General features: G+C 39.2%; 1 protein-coding gene across 3 annotated transcripts in view; it reads right to left on the reverse strand.

Moving 5' to 3' along the window:
- Positions 1-19723, reverse strand: part of ITGA8 (integrin subunit alpha 8) — a 205969-nt gene that overhangs the window by 143319 nt on the left and 42927 nt on the right. For 2 of the 3 annotated variants that reach the window (NM_003638.3, XM_011519752.3), the window contains exons 7-10: positions 15352-15477; positions 14331-14375; positions 3607-3650; positions 1727-1783 (exon numbers count right to left, since the gene is read on the reverse strand). In NM_003638.3, the coding sequence (NP_003629.2) occupies positions 1727-1783; positions 3607-3650; positions 14331-14375; positions 15352-15477 (272 nt within the window). The remainder of the gene's footprint in view (positions 1-1726; positions 1784-3606; positions 3651-14330; positions 14376-15351; positions 15478-19723) is intronic. The other variant, NM_001291494.2, reaches the window with a different exon arrangement.

The raw sequence follows: 19723 nt of genomic DNA on the forward strand, positions 1-19723 counted from the left end.
TCATTCACTTATTAATTACCACCACTTAGGAATAGTTGTTTCAAACAGTTCAATATCTATTCAACTTCCCGCTCATCTCAGTCTTATTTCTCCAAACCTTCCAAAAGAATATCAGGAGATATAAAATGCTTCGCTGAAAATTTCAGAGTAATAGACTAAAGCCCCAAATTACAGCAAAAAGATGTCAAAATCATTTTGTTTATTTTAAAACCTGCTGGTTTCTTTTTCTTTTCTTTCATTTTTTTTTTTTTTTTTTTTTAACAGAGACAGTGGTCTCACTATGTTGCCCAGGCTGGTCATGAGCTCCAGGCCTCAAGTGATCCTCCTGCCTTGGCCTTCCAAACTCCTGGGATTACAGGTATGAGCCACATTTCTTTAAATACTGAGTTGGTGCTTCCGTCTAAAGGAAGCCAGTTGTGAACTGAATTTGTTTCTCCAGGCAATCGATTTTTCTCTCCTCTTCAAATTTAATTAACATGGTTAGTTTTAAATGTATTACTTCCACAGCTTTGTTCATATTTAGTTTAAAATTAAGTGCGTAGTTCTGTTTGTAAATAGTCACATATAAGTTACAAACACAAGGAATTCATTTATTTTAAATTTGTCCTGCATTCAAACATGGAGGCCTGAATCTATATCTTACTGAAATAGAGATGCAATAGTTTATGATCATCATAAGCACACGTATTCGCATGCATCTCAAATTATAGAAGATTTAATGGCACATGGGAATTTAGTGGCTTTTGTTTGATCAAAAGGCAGGAGACAGGAAATGGGATGGAAAGGAATTAACATTTCTTGAGGAGTTGTTATGTGCCAGGGAATCTTCTAAGTAATCTACAATCCTTGATTTATTTCATTCTTAAAGGGAGCTTGGAAGATAAACATTTTATTCTTATTTTGCCAAGTGGCTCAAAGAGGTCAGATGATTTTCCTGTGGTCTCACACAGTTCATGAGCGGTGCGGTGGGAACTGGAAGTCTAATCTGTCAGCTGCAGAAGTCCAGGCCCTTTTTACAGTGACCTTCTTCCCATATCTTACATCAAAACCTTCAGGCCTTTATAGACTATTGAAAGATTCATGTTAATACGAAACCACTTCCCATTGTTCTTAGAAAAAAATTCTTAATCCCAAACACCGCCCACCTCCCCCACCAGTCTCCCATGAGTAGCCCCTGTCCCCTCCGTCCTCAGCTCCTACATCTCTCTTGCTTACAGAGACTGTGGCCTTCACTCTGCTCTTCACACATGTCTGGCTGGTTCTTGTTTGAAAGCCTTCTTGTTAGCCTTCCCTTGCCTGGAAGGTTCTGGATAAGATGGTATAGTTGGCTCTGTCTTGTCATTCACATCTCAGCCCAGACATTGGCACCTCAGAGGCCTCCTGATCACCCCATCCAAAGGCTTCCTTGCCACTTCCCTCCTGTCTTATATCACTCAGCTTTATTTTCTTTAAATCATGGTTCACAATCTGAAATTATCATGGACATTTATTTGCTTGTTAATAAACTGTCCCTTCCTCTCCCTCCCCTGCCACCTCACTGCTGCCTGAGAGCTGGATGGGATCTGTCTGTCTGATGCATGATTGCATCCCCGGTGCCTAGGACAGTTTCCAGTACGTAGTAGCTGCTCATTAAATATTTGTCAAATGGATGAATAACTGATATGAATATTATAGTCTACTGGTAACCCAGAGTGATTTTATTTATTTGATATTAAAATGTCTCTACCTGTTCTCCCGTGAAATTCTGAATAAACGTCATATCCGTAGAGTTAATGATGGAAACCTGAAATCACAGAAATTAAACAGGTTACACCATTTGCCATAGAATTGGAGCCTTTTTTAAAAACTACAACTTGAATCATTTAAAATTTTTTGTAAAGTGTGATAAATGGTTAGCTAAATGTAAAACAAAAATGAAAGCCCACGGAATGATCTTATTTAAAAAAAAAAAGCCGATTAAAGTTTTTGTTTATGGTTAAGTCTGGGATGCTTTCAGAAAAAACGCATGCTTATTAATCTGAACTGGAGAAATAAAAGTTGAATTCAAGAATACTGAGAGCAATTAACTTGATGATTAGTTGATTTAGTCAGGATTTTTGTCCAAATCCATTTCTGTTCTTATTCTATGATAAATTGATCATTATGGTTCTTTGCAAGAAAAATTAGATTTTAAAATGCTATCCACATGGCAAAAATATTCCTTTTACTTCTACTTAGACAACCGTGATGCTTTCTAGATACTTTTGTAAAAGATGAACTTTATTTAAAATGTTTTTCTTTCAGAAGATCTATTTATTTGCTTTTCCTAATTTCATAATAATGGGTTTGAATAGTAGCACCCCAAAATTTCATATCTACCCAGAACATCAGAATAAGACTTTATTTGGAAATAGGATCTTTGCAGATGAAATTAGTTAAGGATCTCAAGATGAAACCATCCGGGTAGGCTCTAAATCCAATGACTGATGTCCTTATCAAAAGAGGAGAAGACACATGTAGACAGAGAGGGCAGAAGGCCACATGAGGATGGAGGCAGAGACTGGTGGGATGTTGCCACAAGCCAAGGAATGCCAGGGACCATCAGGGGCTGGAAGGGGGCACAGAGAACCCTCCTATCATAGATGCTCTGGTGAGAATATTGTCCTGCCCACAATTTGATGTCAGACTTCTGGCTGCCAGAACTGTGAGTGAATAAATTTATGTTGTTTGAAGCCAGGCAGTTTGTGATTCTATGTTATAGCAGTCATGGAAACAAATAATAAATTTAAAATTAGTTAAATTTATAATAAAATAATGCAATTCATTAAAATAACTGAAATAACAATTGCTTTTATTTCTATTGTATGAGGCGTATTAAGTTGCTGATCATAACCATGGCATCCTCCACAATTATTCCCGGATTATACCCACAGGTAGGACCAGCCTTGTGGGTATGTGACTTGTGCAGTCACACAGGACCCTGTGCTTAGATGGGTCTCACCCTTGGTTTAATGGTCTGCTGTTCATGTCCTGAAATTTTTAATAATTTATGAACAAGGGGTCTGTGTTTTCATTTTGCACTAGGTCTCATCAGTTAAGTAGCTGCTCCTGCACATGGATCAGAAGAAATCTAATCTGACTTATTTTCCTTCCTTTTCCGTAAGCAAGCAGCATGAATCGGGAGGAAGAACCCCTTCATAAAGGAAGTTTTAAAAGACTTAAAATTTGCATAAAATGAAACATTTCTTTGCGTATACAGATGGTCCTTCAATTATGATGGTTCAACTGACAATGGTTCAAAAGTGATACACATTCTGTAATAATCATACTTTGAATTTTGAGTTTTGATCTTTTCCCAGACTAGCAATATGCGATATGATGCTCTTACTTGAGATATGAACACTTCATTATAAAATAGGCTTTTGCCTAAGTGTGGGCTAATGTAGGTGTTCTGAGCATGTTTAAGGTAGGTTAGGTAAGCTATGATGTTCGGTGGATTAGGTGTATTAAGTGTGTTTTCAACTGACAGTATTTTCAATTTATGATGGGTTTATTCAGATGTAATTCCATCAAGGAGCACCTATACAAGAAAATACCCTATTCCTGTAATGCATTCTCAGTACTCACATATCCAAAATTCTGTGCTCCTCTTGGAATTCCAGCAACCAATTCTGGGGATGAAAATAGCCATTTAGAAGGGGAATTACTCACACACACAAACACACACACACACGCCATATACTAAAAGTGGTAAAGACAGTGCTTGTAAAATGAGTGGCTATCATACAGAGCAGGGGTCCCCAAGCCCCAGGCCATCAACCAGCACCTGTCTGTGGCCTGTTGGGAGCCCGGCCACACACACAGTAGGAGGTGAGCCTCAGGCGAGCCAGAACGAAGCTTCATCTGTATTTACAGACACTCCCCTTGCTTACATTACAGCCTGAGCACTGCCTCCTGTCTGATCAGCGGTGGCATTATGTTCTCACCAGAGTGAGAACCCTATTGTGAACTGTGCACACAGGGGATCTAGGTTGCACGCCTCTTGAGAATCTAACTAATGCCTGATGATCTGAGGTGAAACAGTTTCATCCCAAAACCATCCCTCACCCCCACATCTGTGAAACCAGTCCCTGGTACCAAAACGGTTGCGGATTGCTGATGTAGAGGGTTGGAAGTTTGAAGCCAGGGCTTTGCGTTTACTGTTCCATTAGCTTTTGTTTCTTCTCCAGATAATAGAAAACAGAAAAACAGAAGTCATACTTTGTCATACTTTGTCATACTTTATGTCTTCATTACGAGTCTCTCTGTACTTCGGTCTCTAATTCATGAATCTGGCTTCTTGAGTCTGCGTGTGATTTATAAATTAGACTTCTTACTCTGATTCTTCCAGCTTTTACTATAGTGACATCTTTTGTACTAGTATAAAAATTACAGTTCTGGTTCCGTCTCAGAGTCAAGGGAGGGAATGGGTGCGAAGCAGAGAGGGGAGCCTTGGACAGGGACGTGGATGATTCATCTACAGCAGTAGGAGGGCAGGGGAAGCATGCTCTTGAATCATAAAACAGGGTTCAGAAAAACTAAGCAATCTGGAGAGACTGCCAGGAAAGTTGACGGAACTGGTAGTACCCTGTCCAGTTTTCAATAATCTTTATTTGGTATAAATTAAGTTCTCCTGACACTAAAAACAAACCACAATCAGATATAATAGGGTTGACTGATTTCAGGGTCAGGCCTGTGGGTGAGGACAGATTCTAGAGGATTGGGCCATTTGAGAAACATGGCAACCACAACTTTTCCCATCCCACAAACATCGGGAATTTTGTTTTTAAAGTATCAGTCTCCCACCCAGTAACTGTGAAGTCTGCAATCTCATGTGACCACAACTCTAAGGAGTTATTAAATGTAATATTGAGTAAAGATCCTCCTAATTTTTTAATAAGTGATCAGGACAGCTTAATTGCTTGGGGTCTAAGGCAAGTTTGAACTGTCACTCAACTACAAAAAATATTCAGTTGCAAGAAAAAATAGGAGACTTTTCCTTTTCAATAACTCAAGGTGAAATCTTCAGAAGGTCCTTTTTTTTTTTTTTTTTTTTTTTTTTTTAAACAGGGTCTTATTCTGTTGCCCAGCCTGGAGTGTAGTGGCATGATCATCATGGCTCACTGCAGCCTCAACCTCCTGGGCTCAAGCCATCCTTCTACCTCAGCTTCCTGAACAGCTGGGACCACAGGTACATGCCACTGTGCCTGGCTAGTTTTTGTATATTTTGTAGAGACAGGGTCTCACTATGTTGCCCAGGCTGGTCTCAAACTCCTGGGTTCAAGCCATCCACCTGCTTCGGCCTCCTAGAGTGCTGGGATTACAGGCCTGAGCCACTGTACATGGCCAGAAGGTTTTTAATAATCAATATAATCAGGAAAAATTTAGATCCTTGACCTAGGAACACATGACTTGAGTAGCATCCTGACTAGTGAGAAGCAAAAATATTTCCTTCATTTGCAGCTTAGAAAGGTTCTATCACCATTGAACTCATAGTTGGTGAGTAGTACAAGTCAAAAATTGACAGCAAAGTCAACATTCTTTCCAACACATCAAATTACATTCCTGGAATTGGTTAGGAACAGATTACTTTCTTGGGTTTTAGCTCACTACACCTCACTCTAAAGTGACAACAAAGGCTCTTAACCTTTTTTGAGTCATGAACGTGTATGAAAATTGGAAGAAAGCTATGGATCCTCTCACAAGAAAAATTATACACAATTAAATATTGTATGTAATTTTTAGGGGTTCCGATCCAGTGAGGCCTATGCATGTCCCACCTAGCAGTGTGAGGATCCATATTAAGAACCCATCATCTAGAGGACATTGAAGTGCTCACTGTTTTTTAAAATAGAATTCTCATTCCCTGTTGTCTAATTAAGTAAATCATGAACATGCACAGTCCTGGATTTGTAGTGGTCTGGTGAGCTGATTGCGATGTTCCTTGATAGTGCTTTTATTTTAGATATCCTCAAAACACTTAAAACACAATCCATTTTCAGATATTTTATTTTAGATATTTTATTTTAACTAGTTTAGATATCCTCAAAACACTTTTTATTTTATTTTAGATATTTTAGATAGCCTCAAAACACAAAATATCCTTTTATTTTAGATATCCTCAAAACACTTAAAACCCAATCCATTTTTCAGATATTTCTGAGATCTGATGGAAAATCACTACTGTTTTCTACCATCTTTCCCTACAATATACTCTTGTGCATCATTATTTATTTTCTTGGGTCAAAACTGAATGCTATTCTTGAGAGCTTTCCAACAAGACTCTTTTTTTTTTTGGACGAGATCTGAGTCTGTCACCCAAGGCTAGAGTGCAGTGGTGCAATGATGACTTACTTCAACCTTGACCTCACAGGGTCAAGTGATCCTCCTGCCTCAGCCTCCCAGCCTCTTAAGCTGGGACTACAGGTGCATGCCACCATGCCCAGCTAATTTTTGTATTTTTGAGAGGAGGTCTCACTGTGTTGCCCAGGCTGGTATAGAACTCCTGAGCTCAAGCAATTCTCCCACCTTGGCCTTCCAAAGTGCTGGAATTACAGGTGTGTGAGTCACCACACCCAGTCCAACAATACTCCTAATGCCACATTAAAAAAAATAATAATTTGGCATGTTTTACAGTTTCCTTTGTAAAATTTTTAGTGATTTTTAGATTTGACCTTTTTTCAAGGCGCTAGTTACTCAATACTATCTTTGGTTCCTAATTCAGTGGTTCTTGTAACAGCCAACAGCACTTTTTAGATATCAGGCCTTGCACTGTTTTATGGATACACAGAGTTAACTCACTGAATTCTCAGAAGAATCTTAGGAGGTAGACAATACTATTAGCTCATCATCCTTATTTTAGGAATGAAAAAATTTGGAGGCACTAAGATGCTTGGTAACTTGTCCAAGGTCACAGAGATAGTAAGAAGTGAGGTCAGGGTTTAAACCCAAGAGGTCTGGCTCCAGAGTCCAGGACTCTTAAGCGTTACAATATACTGCCTTTTAATACCTTGAAGAAGACATAATGAGAGGACAAGTCCTTTATGAATTAGTTTGTACCTAAAAGAAAAATGTTCTTTCAAAGGAAAAAATAAAACCTGATTATCTTCAACCTGAACTGCAAAACTTTATGATTTTCTGCTTTGTATACCTTCCCATGAAACTATGAAAGGATCTGTGATGATTCCTAGAGGTGACCATATTTCATTTACTCTTTTTTTTTTCCACATTTTATTATTATTATACTTTAAGTTTTAGGGTACATGTGCACAATGTGCAGGTTTGTTACATATGTATACATGTGCCATGTTGGTGTGCTGCACCCATTAACTCGTCATTTAGCATTAGGTATATCTCCTAATGCTATCCCTCCCCCCTCCCCCCAACCCACAACAGTCCCCAGTGTGTGATGCTCCCCTTCCTGTGTCCATGTGCTCTCATTGTTCAATTCCCACCTATGAGTGAGAACATGCAGTGTTTGGTTTTTTGTCCTTGTGATAGTTTGCTGAGAATGATGGTTTCCAGTTTCATCCATGTCCCTACAAAGGACATGAACTCATCCTTTTTATGGCTGCATAGTATTCCATGGTGTATATGTGCCACATTTTCTTAATCCAGTCTATCATTGTAGGACATTTAGGTTAGTTCCAAGTCTTTGCTATTGTGAATAGAGCCGCAATAAACATAGGTGTGCATGTGTCTTTATAGCAGCATGATTTATAATCCTTTGGGTATATACCCAGTAATGGGATTGCTGGGTCAAATGGTATTTCTAGTTCTAGATCCCCGAGGAATCGCCACACTGACTTCCACAATGGTTGAACTAGTTTACAGTTCCACCAACAGTGTGAAAGTGTTCCTATTTCTCCACATCCTCTCCAGCACCTGTTGTTTCCTGACTTGTTAATGATCGCCATTCTAACTATTGTGAGATGGTATCTCATTGTGGTTTTGATTTGCATTTCTCTGATGGCCAGTGATGATGAGCATTTTTTCATGTGTTTTTTGGCTGCATAAATGTCTTCTTTTGAGAAATGTCTGTTCATATCCTTCGCCCACTTTTTGATGGGGTTGTTTGTTTTTTTCTCATAAATTTGTTTGAGTTCATTGTAGATTCTGGATATTAGCTCTTTGTCAGATGAGTAGGTTGCAAAAATTTTTTCCCATTTTTTAGGTTGCCTGTTCACTCTGATGGTAGTTTCTTTTGCTGTGCAGAAGCTCTTCAGTTTAATTAGATCCCATTTGTCAATTTTGGCTTTTGTTGCCATTGCTTTTTGTGTTTTAGACATGAAGTCCTTGCCCATGCCTATGTCCTGGATGGTATTGCCTAGGTTTTCTTCTAGGGTTTTTATGGTTTTAGGTCTAACATTTAAGTCTTTAATCCATCTTGAATTAATTTTTGTATAAGGTATAAGGAAGGGAATGAGTTTCAGCTTTCTACATATGGCTAGCCAGTTTTCCCAGCACCATTTATTAAATAGGGAATCCTTTCCCCATTGCTTGTTTTTGTCAGGTTTGTCAAAGATCAGATAGTTGTAGATATGCGGCATTATTTCTGAGGGCTCTGTTCTGTTCCATTGATCTATATCTCTGTTTTGGTACCAGTACCATGCTGTTTTGGTTACTGTAGCCTTGTAGTATAGTTTGAAGTCAGGTAGGGTGATGCCTCCAGCTTTGTTCTTTTGGTTTAGGATTGACTTGGCGAAGCCGGCTCTTTTTTGGTTCCATACGAACTTTAAAGTAGTTTTTTTCCAATTCTGTGAAGAAAGTCATTGGTAGCTTGATGGGGATGGCATTGAATCTATAAATTACCTTGGGCAGTATGGCCATTTTCAAAATATTGATTCTTCCTACCCATGAGCATGGAATGTTCTTCCATTTGTTTGTATCCTCTTTTATTTCATTGAGCAGTGGTTTGTAGTTCTCCTTGAAGAGGTCCTTCACATCCCTTGTAAGTTGGATTCCTAGGTATTTTATTCTCTTTGAAGCAATTATGAATGGGAGTTCACTCATGATTTGGCTCTCTGTTTGTCTGTTATTGGTGTATAAGAATGCTTGTGATTTTTGTACATTGATTTTGTGTCCTGAGACTTTGCTGAAGTTGCTTATCAGCTTGAGGAGATTTTGGGCTGAGACGATGGGGTTTTCTAGATATACAGTCATGTCATCTGCAAACAGGGACAATTTGACTTCCTCTTTTCCTAATTGAATACTCTTTATTTCCTTCTCCTGCCTGATTGCCGTGGCCAGAACTTCCAACACTATGTTGAATAGGAGTGATGAGAGAGGGCATCCCTGTCTTGTGCCAGTTTTCAAAGGGAATGCTTCCAGTTTTTGTCCATTCAGTATGATATTGGCTGTGGGTTTGTCATAGATAGCTCTTATTATTTTGAGATATGTCCCATCAATACCTAATTTATTGAGAGTTTTTAGCATGAAGCGTTGTTGAATTTTGTCAAAGGCCTTTTCTGCATCTATTGAGATAATCATGTGGTTTTTGTCTTTGTTCTGTTTATATGTTGGATTACATTTATTGATTTGCATATGTTGAACCAGCCTTGCATCCGAGGGATGAAGCCCACTTGATCATGGTGGATAAGCTTTTTCATGTGCTGCTGGATTCGGTTTGCCAGTACTTTATTGAGGATTTTTGCATCGATGTTCATCAAGGATATTGGTCTAAAATTCTCTTGTTTTGTTGTGTCTCTGCCTGGCTTTGGTATCAGGATGATGCTGGCCTCATAAAATGAGTTAGGGAGGATTCCCTCTTTTTCTATTGATTGGAATAGTTTCAGAAGGAATGGTACCAGCTCCTCTTTGCACCTCTGGTAGAATTCGGCTGTGAATCCATCTGGTCCTGGAATTTTTTTGGTTGGTAAGCTATTGATTATTGCCTCAATTTCAGAGCCTGTTATTGGTCTATTCAGAGATTCAACTTCTTTCTGGTTTAGTCTTGGGATGATGTATGTGTTGAGGAATTTATCCATTTCTTCTAGATTGTCTAGTTTATTTGCATAGAGTTGTTTATAGTATTCTCTGATGGTAGTTTGTATTTCTGTGGTATCGGTGGTGATATCCCCTTTATCATTTTTTATTGCGTCTATTTGATTCTTCTCTCTTTTCTTCTTTATTAGTCTTGCTAGTGGTCTATCAATTTTGTTGATCTTTTCAAAAAACCAGCTCCTGGATTCATTAATTTGTTGAAGAGTTTTTTGTGTCTCTATTTCCTTCAGTTCTACTCTGATCTTAGTTATTTCTTGCCTTCTGCTAGGTTTTGAATGTGTTTGCTCTCACTTCTCTAGTTCTTTTAATTGTGATGTTAGGGTGTCAATTTTAGATCTTTCCTGCTTTCTCTTGTGGGCATTTAGTGCTATAAATTTCCCTCTACACACTGCTTTGAATGTGTCCCAGAGATTCTGGTATGTTGTGTCTTTGTTCTCGTTGGTTTCAAAGAACATCTTTATTTCTGCCTTCATTTCGTTGTGTACCCAGTAGTCATTCAGGAGCAGGTTGTTCAGTTTCCATGTAGTTGAGCAGTTTTGAGTGAGTTTCTTAATCCTGAGTTCTAGTTTGATTGCACTGTGGTCTGAGAGACAGTTTGTTATAATTTCTGTTCTTTTACATTTGCTGAGGAGTGCTTTACTTCCAACTATGTGGTCAATTTTGGAGTAGGTGTGGTGTGGTGCTGAAAAGAATGTATATTCTGTTGATTTGGGGTGGAGAGTTCTGTAGATGTCTATTAGGTCCACTTGGTGCAGAGCTGAGTTCAATTCCTGGGTATCCTTGTTAACTTTCTGTCTATTTGATCTGTCTAATGTTGACAGGGGGGTGTTAAAGTCTCCCATTATTATTGTGTGGGAGTCTAAGTCTCTTTGTAGGTCACTAAGGACTTGCTTTATGAATCTGGGTGCTTCTGTATTGGGTGCATATATATTTAGGATAGTTAGCTCTTCTTGTTGAATTGATCCTTTTATCATTATGTAATGGCCTTCTTTGTCTCTTTTGATCTTTGTTGGTTTAAAGTCTGTTTTATCAGAGACTAGGATTGCAACCCCTGCCTTTTTTTGTTTTCCATTTGCTTGGTAGATCTTCCTCCATCCCTTTATTTTGAGCCTATGTGTGTCTCTGCACGTGAGATGGGTTTCCTGAATACAGCACACTGATGGGTCTTGACTCTTTATGCGATTTGCCAGTCTGTGTCTTTTAATTGGAGCATTTAGCCCATTTACATTTAAAGTTAATATTTTTATGTGTGAATTTGATCCTGTCATTATGATGTTAGCTGGTTATTTTGCTCGTTAGTTGATGCAGTTTCTTCCTAGCCTGGATGGTCTTTACAATTTGGCATGTTTTTGCAGTGGCTGGTACTGGTTGTTCCTTTCCATGTTTAGTGCTTCCTTCAGGAGCTCTTTTAGGGCAGGCCTGGTGGTGACAAAATCTCTCAGCATTTGCTTGTCTGTAAAGTATTTTATTTCTCCTTCACTTCTGAAGCTTAGTTTGCCTGGATATGAGATTCTGTGTTGAAAATTCTTTTCTTTAAGAATGTTGACTATTGGTCCCCACTCTCTTCTGGCTAGTAGAGTTTCTGCTGAGAGATTAGCTGTTAGTCTGATGGGCTTCCCTTTGTGGGTAACCCGACCTTTCTCTCTGGCTGCCCTTAACATTTTTCCTTCATTTCAACTTTGGTGAATCTGATAATTATGTGTCTTGGAGTTACTCTTCTGGAGGAGTATCTTTGTGGTGTTCTCTGTATTTCCTGAATTTGAATGTTGGCCTGCCTTGATAGATTGGGGAAGTTCTCCTGGGTAATATCCTGCAGAGTGTTTTCCAACTTGGTTCTATTCTCCCTGTCACTTTCAGGCACACCAATCAGATGTAGATTTGGTCTTTTCACATAGTCCCATATTTCTTGGAGGCTTTGTTCATTTCTTTTTATTCTTTTTTCTCTAAACTTCTCTTCTTGCTTCATTTCATTCATTTTGTCTTCCATCACTGATACCCTTTCTTCCAGTTGATTGCGTCGGCTACTGAGGCTTCTGCATTTGTCACGTGGCTCTCGTGCCTTGGTTTTCAGCTCCATCAGGTCCTTTAAGGACTTTTCTTCATTGGTTATTCTAGTTATCCATTCATCTAGTTTTTTTCCAAAGCTTTTACGTTCTTTGCCATTGGTTCGAATTTCCTCCTGTAGCTCAGAGTAGTTTGATCTTCTGAAGCCTTCTTCTCTCAACTCATCAAAGTCATTCTCCATCCAGCTTTGTTCCATTGCTGGTGAGAGGCTGCGTTCCTTTGGAGGAGGAGAGGTGCTCTGATTTTTAGCAGTTGTTCTGCTCTGTTTTTTTCCCATCTTTGTGGTTTTATCTACCTTTGGTCTTTGATGATGGTGACGTACAGATGGGTTTTTGGTGTGGATGTCCTTTCTGTTTGTTAGTTTTCCTTCTAACAGACAGGACCCTCAGCTGCAGGTCTGTTGGAGTTTGCTAGAGGTCCACTCCAGACCCTGTTTTCCTGGGTATCAGCAGCAGAGGCTGCAGAATAGCAGATATTGGTGAACCGCAGATGCTGCTGCCTGATCGTTCCTCTGGAAGTTTTGTCTCAGAGGACTACCCGGCCGTGTGAGGTGTCAGTCCGCCGCTACTGGGGGGTCCTTCCCAGTTAGGCTACTCAGGGGTCAGGGACCCACTTGAGGAGGCAGTCTGCCCGTTCTCAGATCTCAAGCTGCGTGCTGGGAGAACCACTACTCTCTTCAAAGCTCAGTTGGAAATGCAGAAATCACCCATCTTCTGCGTCGCTCATGCTGGGAGCTGTAGACCAGAGCTGTTCCTATTCGGCCATCTTGGCTCCCAACTCCATTTACTCTTAATTATTTGTGAATTAAACCACTTGCATTAGTGAAATGCAGTCAGTGTTCATATGAAACAAGATGGAAAATGGTAAATACTGATTGATGATTGACTCATTCAATAAATATTACCCGTTGAGTGAAAGCTCCCATTTATTGCCTTGTATCTAAGTATTCCTCATGCATTAGCTCATGCAATCTTCAGAACATTATTTTGAGTTAGTTAATATTAGTGTCATTTAAAGATGAGCAAATAAGAACCAGAGAGGTTGTCATAGCCTAAGGAATAGAGAGTGTGAAGTCAGAACTTGAACCTACGTGGATCTTGACTCCAAAGATTCAAATTATTTCTGTCAAGCTGTTTCCGGTATGAATCTATTACGAGCAACACATGGTCTAGTCTTTGTAAAAGAGATAAATAATAACAATACATAACAATACATAGACCTTGCCTTCAAGGAGGTAGACATGAAGAGAAAAGTGATATATGTGATACCATTCTTCCTTACTCTCATCTCAATCAAATCTACATAGGCAGCCAGTGTGATTTGTTCTCTTTTTTTCTTTTAGATTACAAGCATGATTGCATTATATTTACTCCTCAGCTGAAACCTTTCATGTCTTCTCCCCTGCACGTTGAATAGATCCCAGAATTGTTTCCATGACCCGTAAAACCGGACATGAGCTGAGCCCAGACTTTGCTCGAAGCCAATCTCGTTTCACTATCAAAGTCTGGCAGTCAAGCTGAGGTCCTTCAACACCCGCATTTTCTACACACCTTAGAATATAGAAGTTGGCCCCTGCCCCTTTGTCTGTCTGACCCCCCACCGTCATCATCCCAGGCTCCGTTTTCTTAACACCACAGCTTTTCTTACTCTATGTTTAGAATTTTATCCTAGCACTTATCATAATTTAATTAGGTATTCTGTGTTCATTATTTCATGTCCATCAGCCCTGGTAGACAACAGCCACAGCAAAGCAGAGAAGACAGGACAGAAGGGATATACAGGAGATAGGGATTCGTTTGTTTTGTTATTTGGGGTTTTGGTATGTTAAAAGAGGAAAAAGCAAGTAAGGTTGGGGTGTTGGATTGGAGTTCGTTGGGGAGAGTAATTTTGGACATGTCCAATATGAGAGGTACTAGAAATGAAGGGATCTTAATTTCACAAATTTGATCTGTCACTAACAGTATGGCATTTAGTCATCTATATTTTTCATTCATAACATGGGATTATGGCCCTAATATTTTATTGCTTAACTAGATTTTATAAAGTTGATATTCATTCTTACAAAATTCTTTCAGACTTAAAATGCTGTATCAAAGTATTTTTTCTACAAAGTATAGGCACTCTGGGACTCCATTAATATCCCTTTGGTATAGCAAATAAAATCACATTGATAGAAAAAACTTTATATGCCATTTTACCATTTCCCCATGCTTTATAAGTGATTTAAACTCAACAGTGCCTCTCACCTTGCTGAGAATCCCCAGTAAACTCCCCAGCAGCAACTGAGTATCCTGTTTTAAAGAAAAAGAAACAAACTAATCACACTTAATGACTTAACCTAATGAGTTATATCTAGAAAAAGGTGAAAGGGCTACCATGGTACTGCTTTATTTAGAAACCTCTACAAATATTATAAAAGTTAAAGATTCTATAAAGGGAAAAATTAATCACACCAAAAGGAACACTTTTATACTAAGTCCTGAGTGCATAATAGATTATCTACTACTTAAGTAGGAGCAAAGCAAAAAAAAAAAAAAAAAAAAGAGGGAGATATTCTGAGGTCAATTTTAAAAGCATGGATACTTCATAATCCACCTTGAGAGTAAATGGTGGCTGTTGCATTTTAAGAGCTGCTGATTGAAAATAATGAGACAGAATACTCTGAAAGATTTCCTTTGGGCTCAGGTTTTGCTATTTCTGGTCACCAGTAAGACCTACTTCCTAATACCTCATGATGGTTTTCCACAATTTAGTTTAGCTCTAAAGTGAGGTGCTGGCTACATTGACAAAACATAGCTACATTTCTTTTTCAAATTCATCAAGCAATCAAATGGCCACTAGGAACCAAAGTTGGGAAACAGTAGTGGTGAAATGACATTGTGTGGTTTGTGCATAATATAATTTGAGAATATTCCAGCAACTCAAACTTCTCTTGTGCGTCTCTGTTAACTAAGAAGGCTGCTATCATCCTGTCCCTGTCACACTGGTAGCAGCCCTGCTAATACATAGTATCTACTACTGGTGAAATAGTTCATGTGCAAAAAACTGCTATGGAGCCAACAAAATAGCTGCTCACATTATGTATTACACATCGCGGCTGGAAAAATAGCAGTATTAAAAAGAAAAGAAAAATTGAGTCCACTCTAATAAGAGAACATTTGTATAAGATGCCAAATAACATCGGATAAGTCAGGGATAAAACTTGCATCTACATTTACTATGCTTGTCTTTTGAAAAACCACAAATGTCTTGGGCAATGGGTCTTACCAAGGTAACTGTCATCATAGGAAGCTGGAGCCACTTCCGTCTGCTTTTCTCCTGCCAGTTTCCTGAGGATATCCTTGAATGAGTAATTTGCAATGATATCTGCAACACTGGCAGTGATCACTTGTCCTGTGTTTAAACAAATTAATACGTTAACTGAATGAAAGCAAGAGGCAGGCCCTCCATGAGCAGACCCACATTCCCTTGAAAGCTATGGTGGAATTGCTTGCTTTTTTGATGATGAATTTTCCCGCCTGCCGCTCAAACTCCAAGGCAGAGTTAGTTACAGCTGGGTAGAACTTTCCATTCTGACAGAAGACCTGAGATGAACTACAATATTTTATTGGTCTTCCTGCTGCTTTTAACATACACACTCCACCTCCAAATGATAAAAGTATCCAAGAGTGGAGGCCAAATTTGCAAGTAAAATTTATGTGATGTAATTTTTGTTTGTTTGTTTGTTTGTTTGTTTTTGTTTTTTGGGACAGAGTCTCGCACTATTGCCTGGGCTGGAGTGCAATGGTGCAGTCTCAGCTCACTGCAACCTCTGTCTCCCGGGTTCAAGTGATTCTCCTGCTTCAGCCTCCCAAGTAGCTGGGTCTGCAGGCACCTACCACCACGCCTGGCTAATTTTTTGTGTTTGTAGTAGAGACGCAGTTTCACTATGTTGGCAAGGGCGGTCTCAAATTCCTGACTTCGTGATCTGCTTGCCTCGGCCTCCCAAAGTGCTGGGATTACAGGTGTGAGCCACAGCGCCCGGCCATGATGTAATTTTTATTCTGGAATATTCCACCTGGAAGGAAGCTTTGAGATCATTTGGTCAAATATAGCTTCTTCTAGGTGGAGAAACTGAAGCCCAAAGAGCTACAGTGCATTCTCTAAGGTCATATGGTTTTGCTAATAGGATATCAGGCATTACAGCCAACATTTCCTTTGGTATTCTAATAAAACATTTTGTGCTCTTGCAAAGCATAGATACTGTATTCAATCTAAATCACATATCTGATTAATAGATGATAAAATATATCAGCTAAGTTAAATGAAGGAATTGTAAACTCTTTGAGCCATCTGCTTTTCTTGCTAAAATATAGAGAGAGCATAAAATTAGGACAATGGGAAGCAGCTAGGTCCAATGAGATCCAAAATTCAGCAAAAGAGAAATCCATGGGCACCAACATTGACGTGATAAGAACTTTGGTTAATCTCTCTCAAAAGTCACTGTCAGAAGTCTTGAAATACGATTGCCTTGGGGTAGACAAGTATCTAAAAGACAACCAGCAATTTCCGCTGCAATTTCTATGCATTCCCATGTTTACCATGGACATCTAAGGCAAAAGTGTGATATCATGCTCTTTGGCAGAAAACTGAAGAAATGCGTTCAAAAGACTATCATTTAACATTAATTTGAAAGCCAAATTAGTCTTTGGGAATTCACACAAAATTCCCACAGTCTTTCTGTTGGAAGTCCACAAAAGAATGAAACTGTCAAACTAGATCATAAATATTGCCAAGTGACTGGGACTTGAAATGACTATTCTGATATTAAGACCATGGTATTTACACATGAGTTTCTGAACACTGTCTGTAGAATTTGCCAGTTGTCTCTGGGTTACAGCTAAATACCCTCTTTCCTCCATCCCACATACACACTGTCTTTGCTGTTTCCTTTAGCTATGTCTATACACATATACACATTATCATCTTAAACCTGAATAAAATTTTAAATTCTATGTCTCAAACATATGTTTCTATATGCCATTGCTATGGCAAATTTTTAGCAAATCATTTGTCTCAGACATTTTTTCAGTTTAAGGAGAAGAATGGATTATGTGAAATTAACCAAGTGAATTAGAAGAAAACCTTCCGTAAATATAATTTTAATTTTGTAGCCATCTGTTGTGCAAAATATATAGTTTTTCAGTTTGCAGAGTAGTTTTTAAATACCAAAATGTTAATTGTTTGATGTTTATAATTGTATATGCATGAACTGAGCTTAACATTAAGTTTATATACAATTTTATCATAAATCAGCTGGGTGTGGTGGCTCATGCCTGTAATCCCAGAACTCTGGGAGGCTGAGGCGGGCGGATCATGAGTTTGAGACCAGGATCAGGAGTTTGAGACCAGTCTGACCAACATTGTGAAACCCTGTCTACTAAAAATACAAAAATTAGCCAGGTGTGGTGGCATGCAACTTTAGTCCCAGCTACTCAGGAGGCAGAGGCAGGAGAATCACTTAAACCTGGGAGGCAGAGGTTGCAGTGAGCCAAGATCACACTACTGTACTCCAACCTGGGCAACAAAATGAGACTCGTCTCAAAAAAAAAAAAATCATAAATCTATCTCTCCTGGATCTTTCTCAATGACTTTTAAACATGATCAAGTTTCTTCCATTAAAAAAATTCCTCCCTCAACTCTTAATCTCAGATTCTACTCTGTCCTAAACTTTATAGCCCAAATTATAGAATCTTCTCAGTATTCTCTCTCTAGGCCTCCCATCTATACCCATGGACTGAGTTATCACCAGTATGAAGTGATGAAAATTTATATTTCACTCTAGATGGTCTCTGGGCTTAAGCCCTAAATACTTAGGTGAAACCCTTTGGGTATCTCAAATATTTTCATACACAACAGAACAAGAAGTAAACTCATCATCTTCCCTCTCCAGGCCACTCTAAACTGGTCCTCTTCCAGTGTTCTGTATCTCAGTGAGCGGCACCCACCTACAGCCATTCAGTAGCAGGCGTCAGAAACACTCCCTTACCACCTTTCTTCCCTTACCAGCATATATCCAACCCATCATTTAGGCTGCTTATTTTGCCTCCAAAGTATTTCTCAAATTTCTCTTCTTTTACAGTCAGTACCACCATCGCTCTAAGAAACAGACAACTTTACCTGAAACTTATACAACTTGTTTACCTTATAAACTTAAAATTAGTTTATATCCTTGTAACAACCTTGTAACTACTTTGCTGATATTTCACCTTGGCCAACTTTCAATCTATTTTCTGTAACGCAGCCAGAATGATCCTTTCAAAACATAATTTGATTGTAGCACTCCATGCTTAAACTCACTTCATAGTTTGTCACTACACTCAGGACAAACAACATCTTCTTACTCTAGCTAAAGCCATCTATTTAAACTCTTAAAATCCCCCAGTGGTTTTCCATAGTTTGTAGAATAAAGACAAAACTGCTTAGCATGGACTGCAAGCCTTCAATGTGAAACCTGAATAAAATTTTAAATTTCTATGTCTCAGACAAATGCTTGTATATGCCATTGCTATGGTAAATTTTCAGCAAATCATTTGTATCCTACGTTTTTTCAACCAAAAGAATGGATGATGTGAAATTAACATAATTTATGGTAAAAATATCATGAAAATTTATGATAAATTTTTTATTAACATAATAATGTTAATTTCACATCATCCATTCTTTTGTGAAATTAGCGGGCCACTCCATACCACCCAAGCTCTTCTTCCCTCACTCTCTTAACTCCGGTCACCTTGACTTTCCTCCATTCTCACCTACGCTGCCCTCCTGCCTCCCACAGTACATCTGCACGTGGTCCCTCTTCTCTTCACCTAGGTACTCCTACGTAAGGTCCAGATCTCAGTTCAGGGTTGTTTGCTTTCCAAGTTAACTTTGCGTTGCTGCTGGCCTATGCAGCACCTTAGCAAGAATTAGAAGACGTAATTTCCTCTCAGCAGATGCTGTCTGTACCTGGGTTCATGGCTCCATAAGCAGAGCACAGGTTGTATTCCAGCTCCCTGTCAGCCAGTGGTCAGAGGACAAAACACACCTGTCCACAGCCACCCAGGAGAAGCCTCCTAATTTCTCCCAGCCCCATCACCACATGCCTTTGCTTCGGATTGTGTATCACAGTTGGGGTTTCTTGGGTACCCCTGTGACAGTTCGATTAATGCCTGTTATCATTCTCTAGATACTAACCTCCATGACAGTAAGAACAATGTCTGTTTTTACTCATTAATGTGTCCCCAGCCTCTACCACAGAGCTTGGCAGAGCCTCAACACATTGTTGATGGAGAAATGAATTGTTAAGTTGCAAGAGTATTTTAAAATATTATTTACATTACAGAGTACAGGCTGGGCAGTGGCTTAGGCCTGTAATCCTAGCATTTTGGGAGGCTGAGGCGGGTGGATCACCAGAGGTCAAGAGTTTGAGACCAGCCTGGCCAACATGGTGAAACCCCGTCTCTACTAAAAATACAAAAATTAGCTGGGCATGGTGGTGGGAACTTGTATTACCAGCTACTCAGGAAGCTGAGGCAGGAGAATTGCTTGAACCTAGGAGGTGGAGGTTGCAGTGGGTCGAGATTGTGCTATTGCACTCCAGCCTGGGCAACAAGAG

The sequence above is a fragment of the Homo sapiens genome, chromosome 10 (assembly GCF_000001405.40).
Source record: "Homo sapiens chromosome 10, GRCh38.p14 Primary Assembly".
NCBI classification, from domain to species: Eukaryota; Metazoa; Chordata; class Mammalia; order Primates; family Hominidae; genus Homo; species Homo sapiens.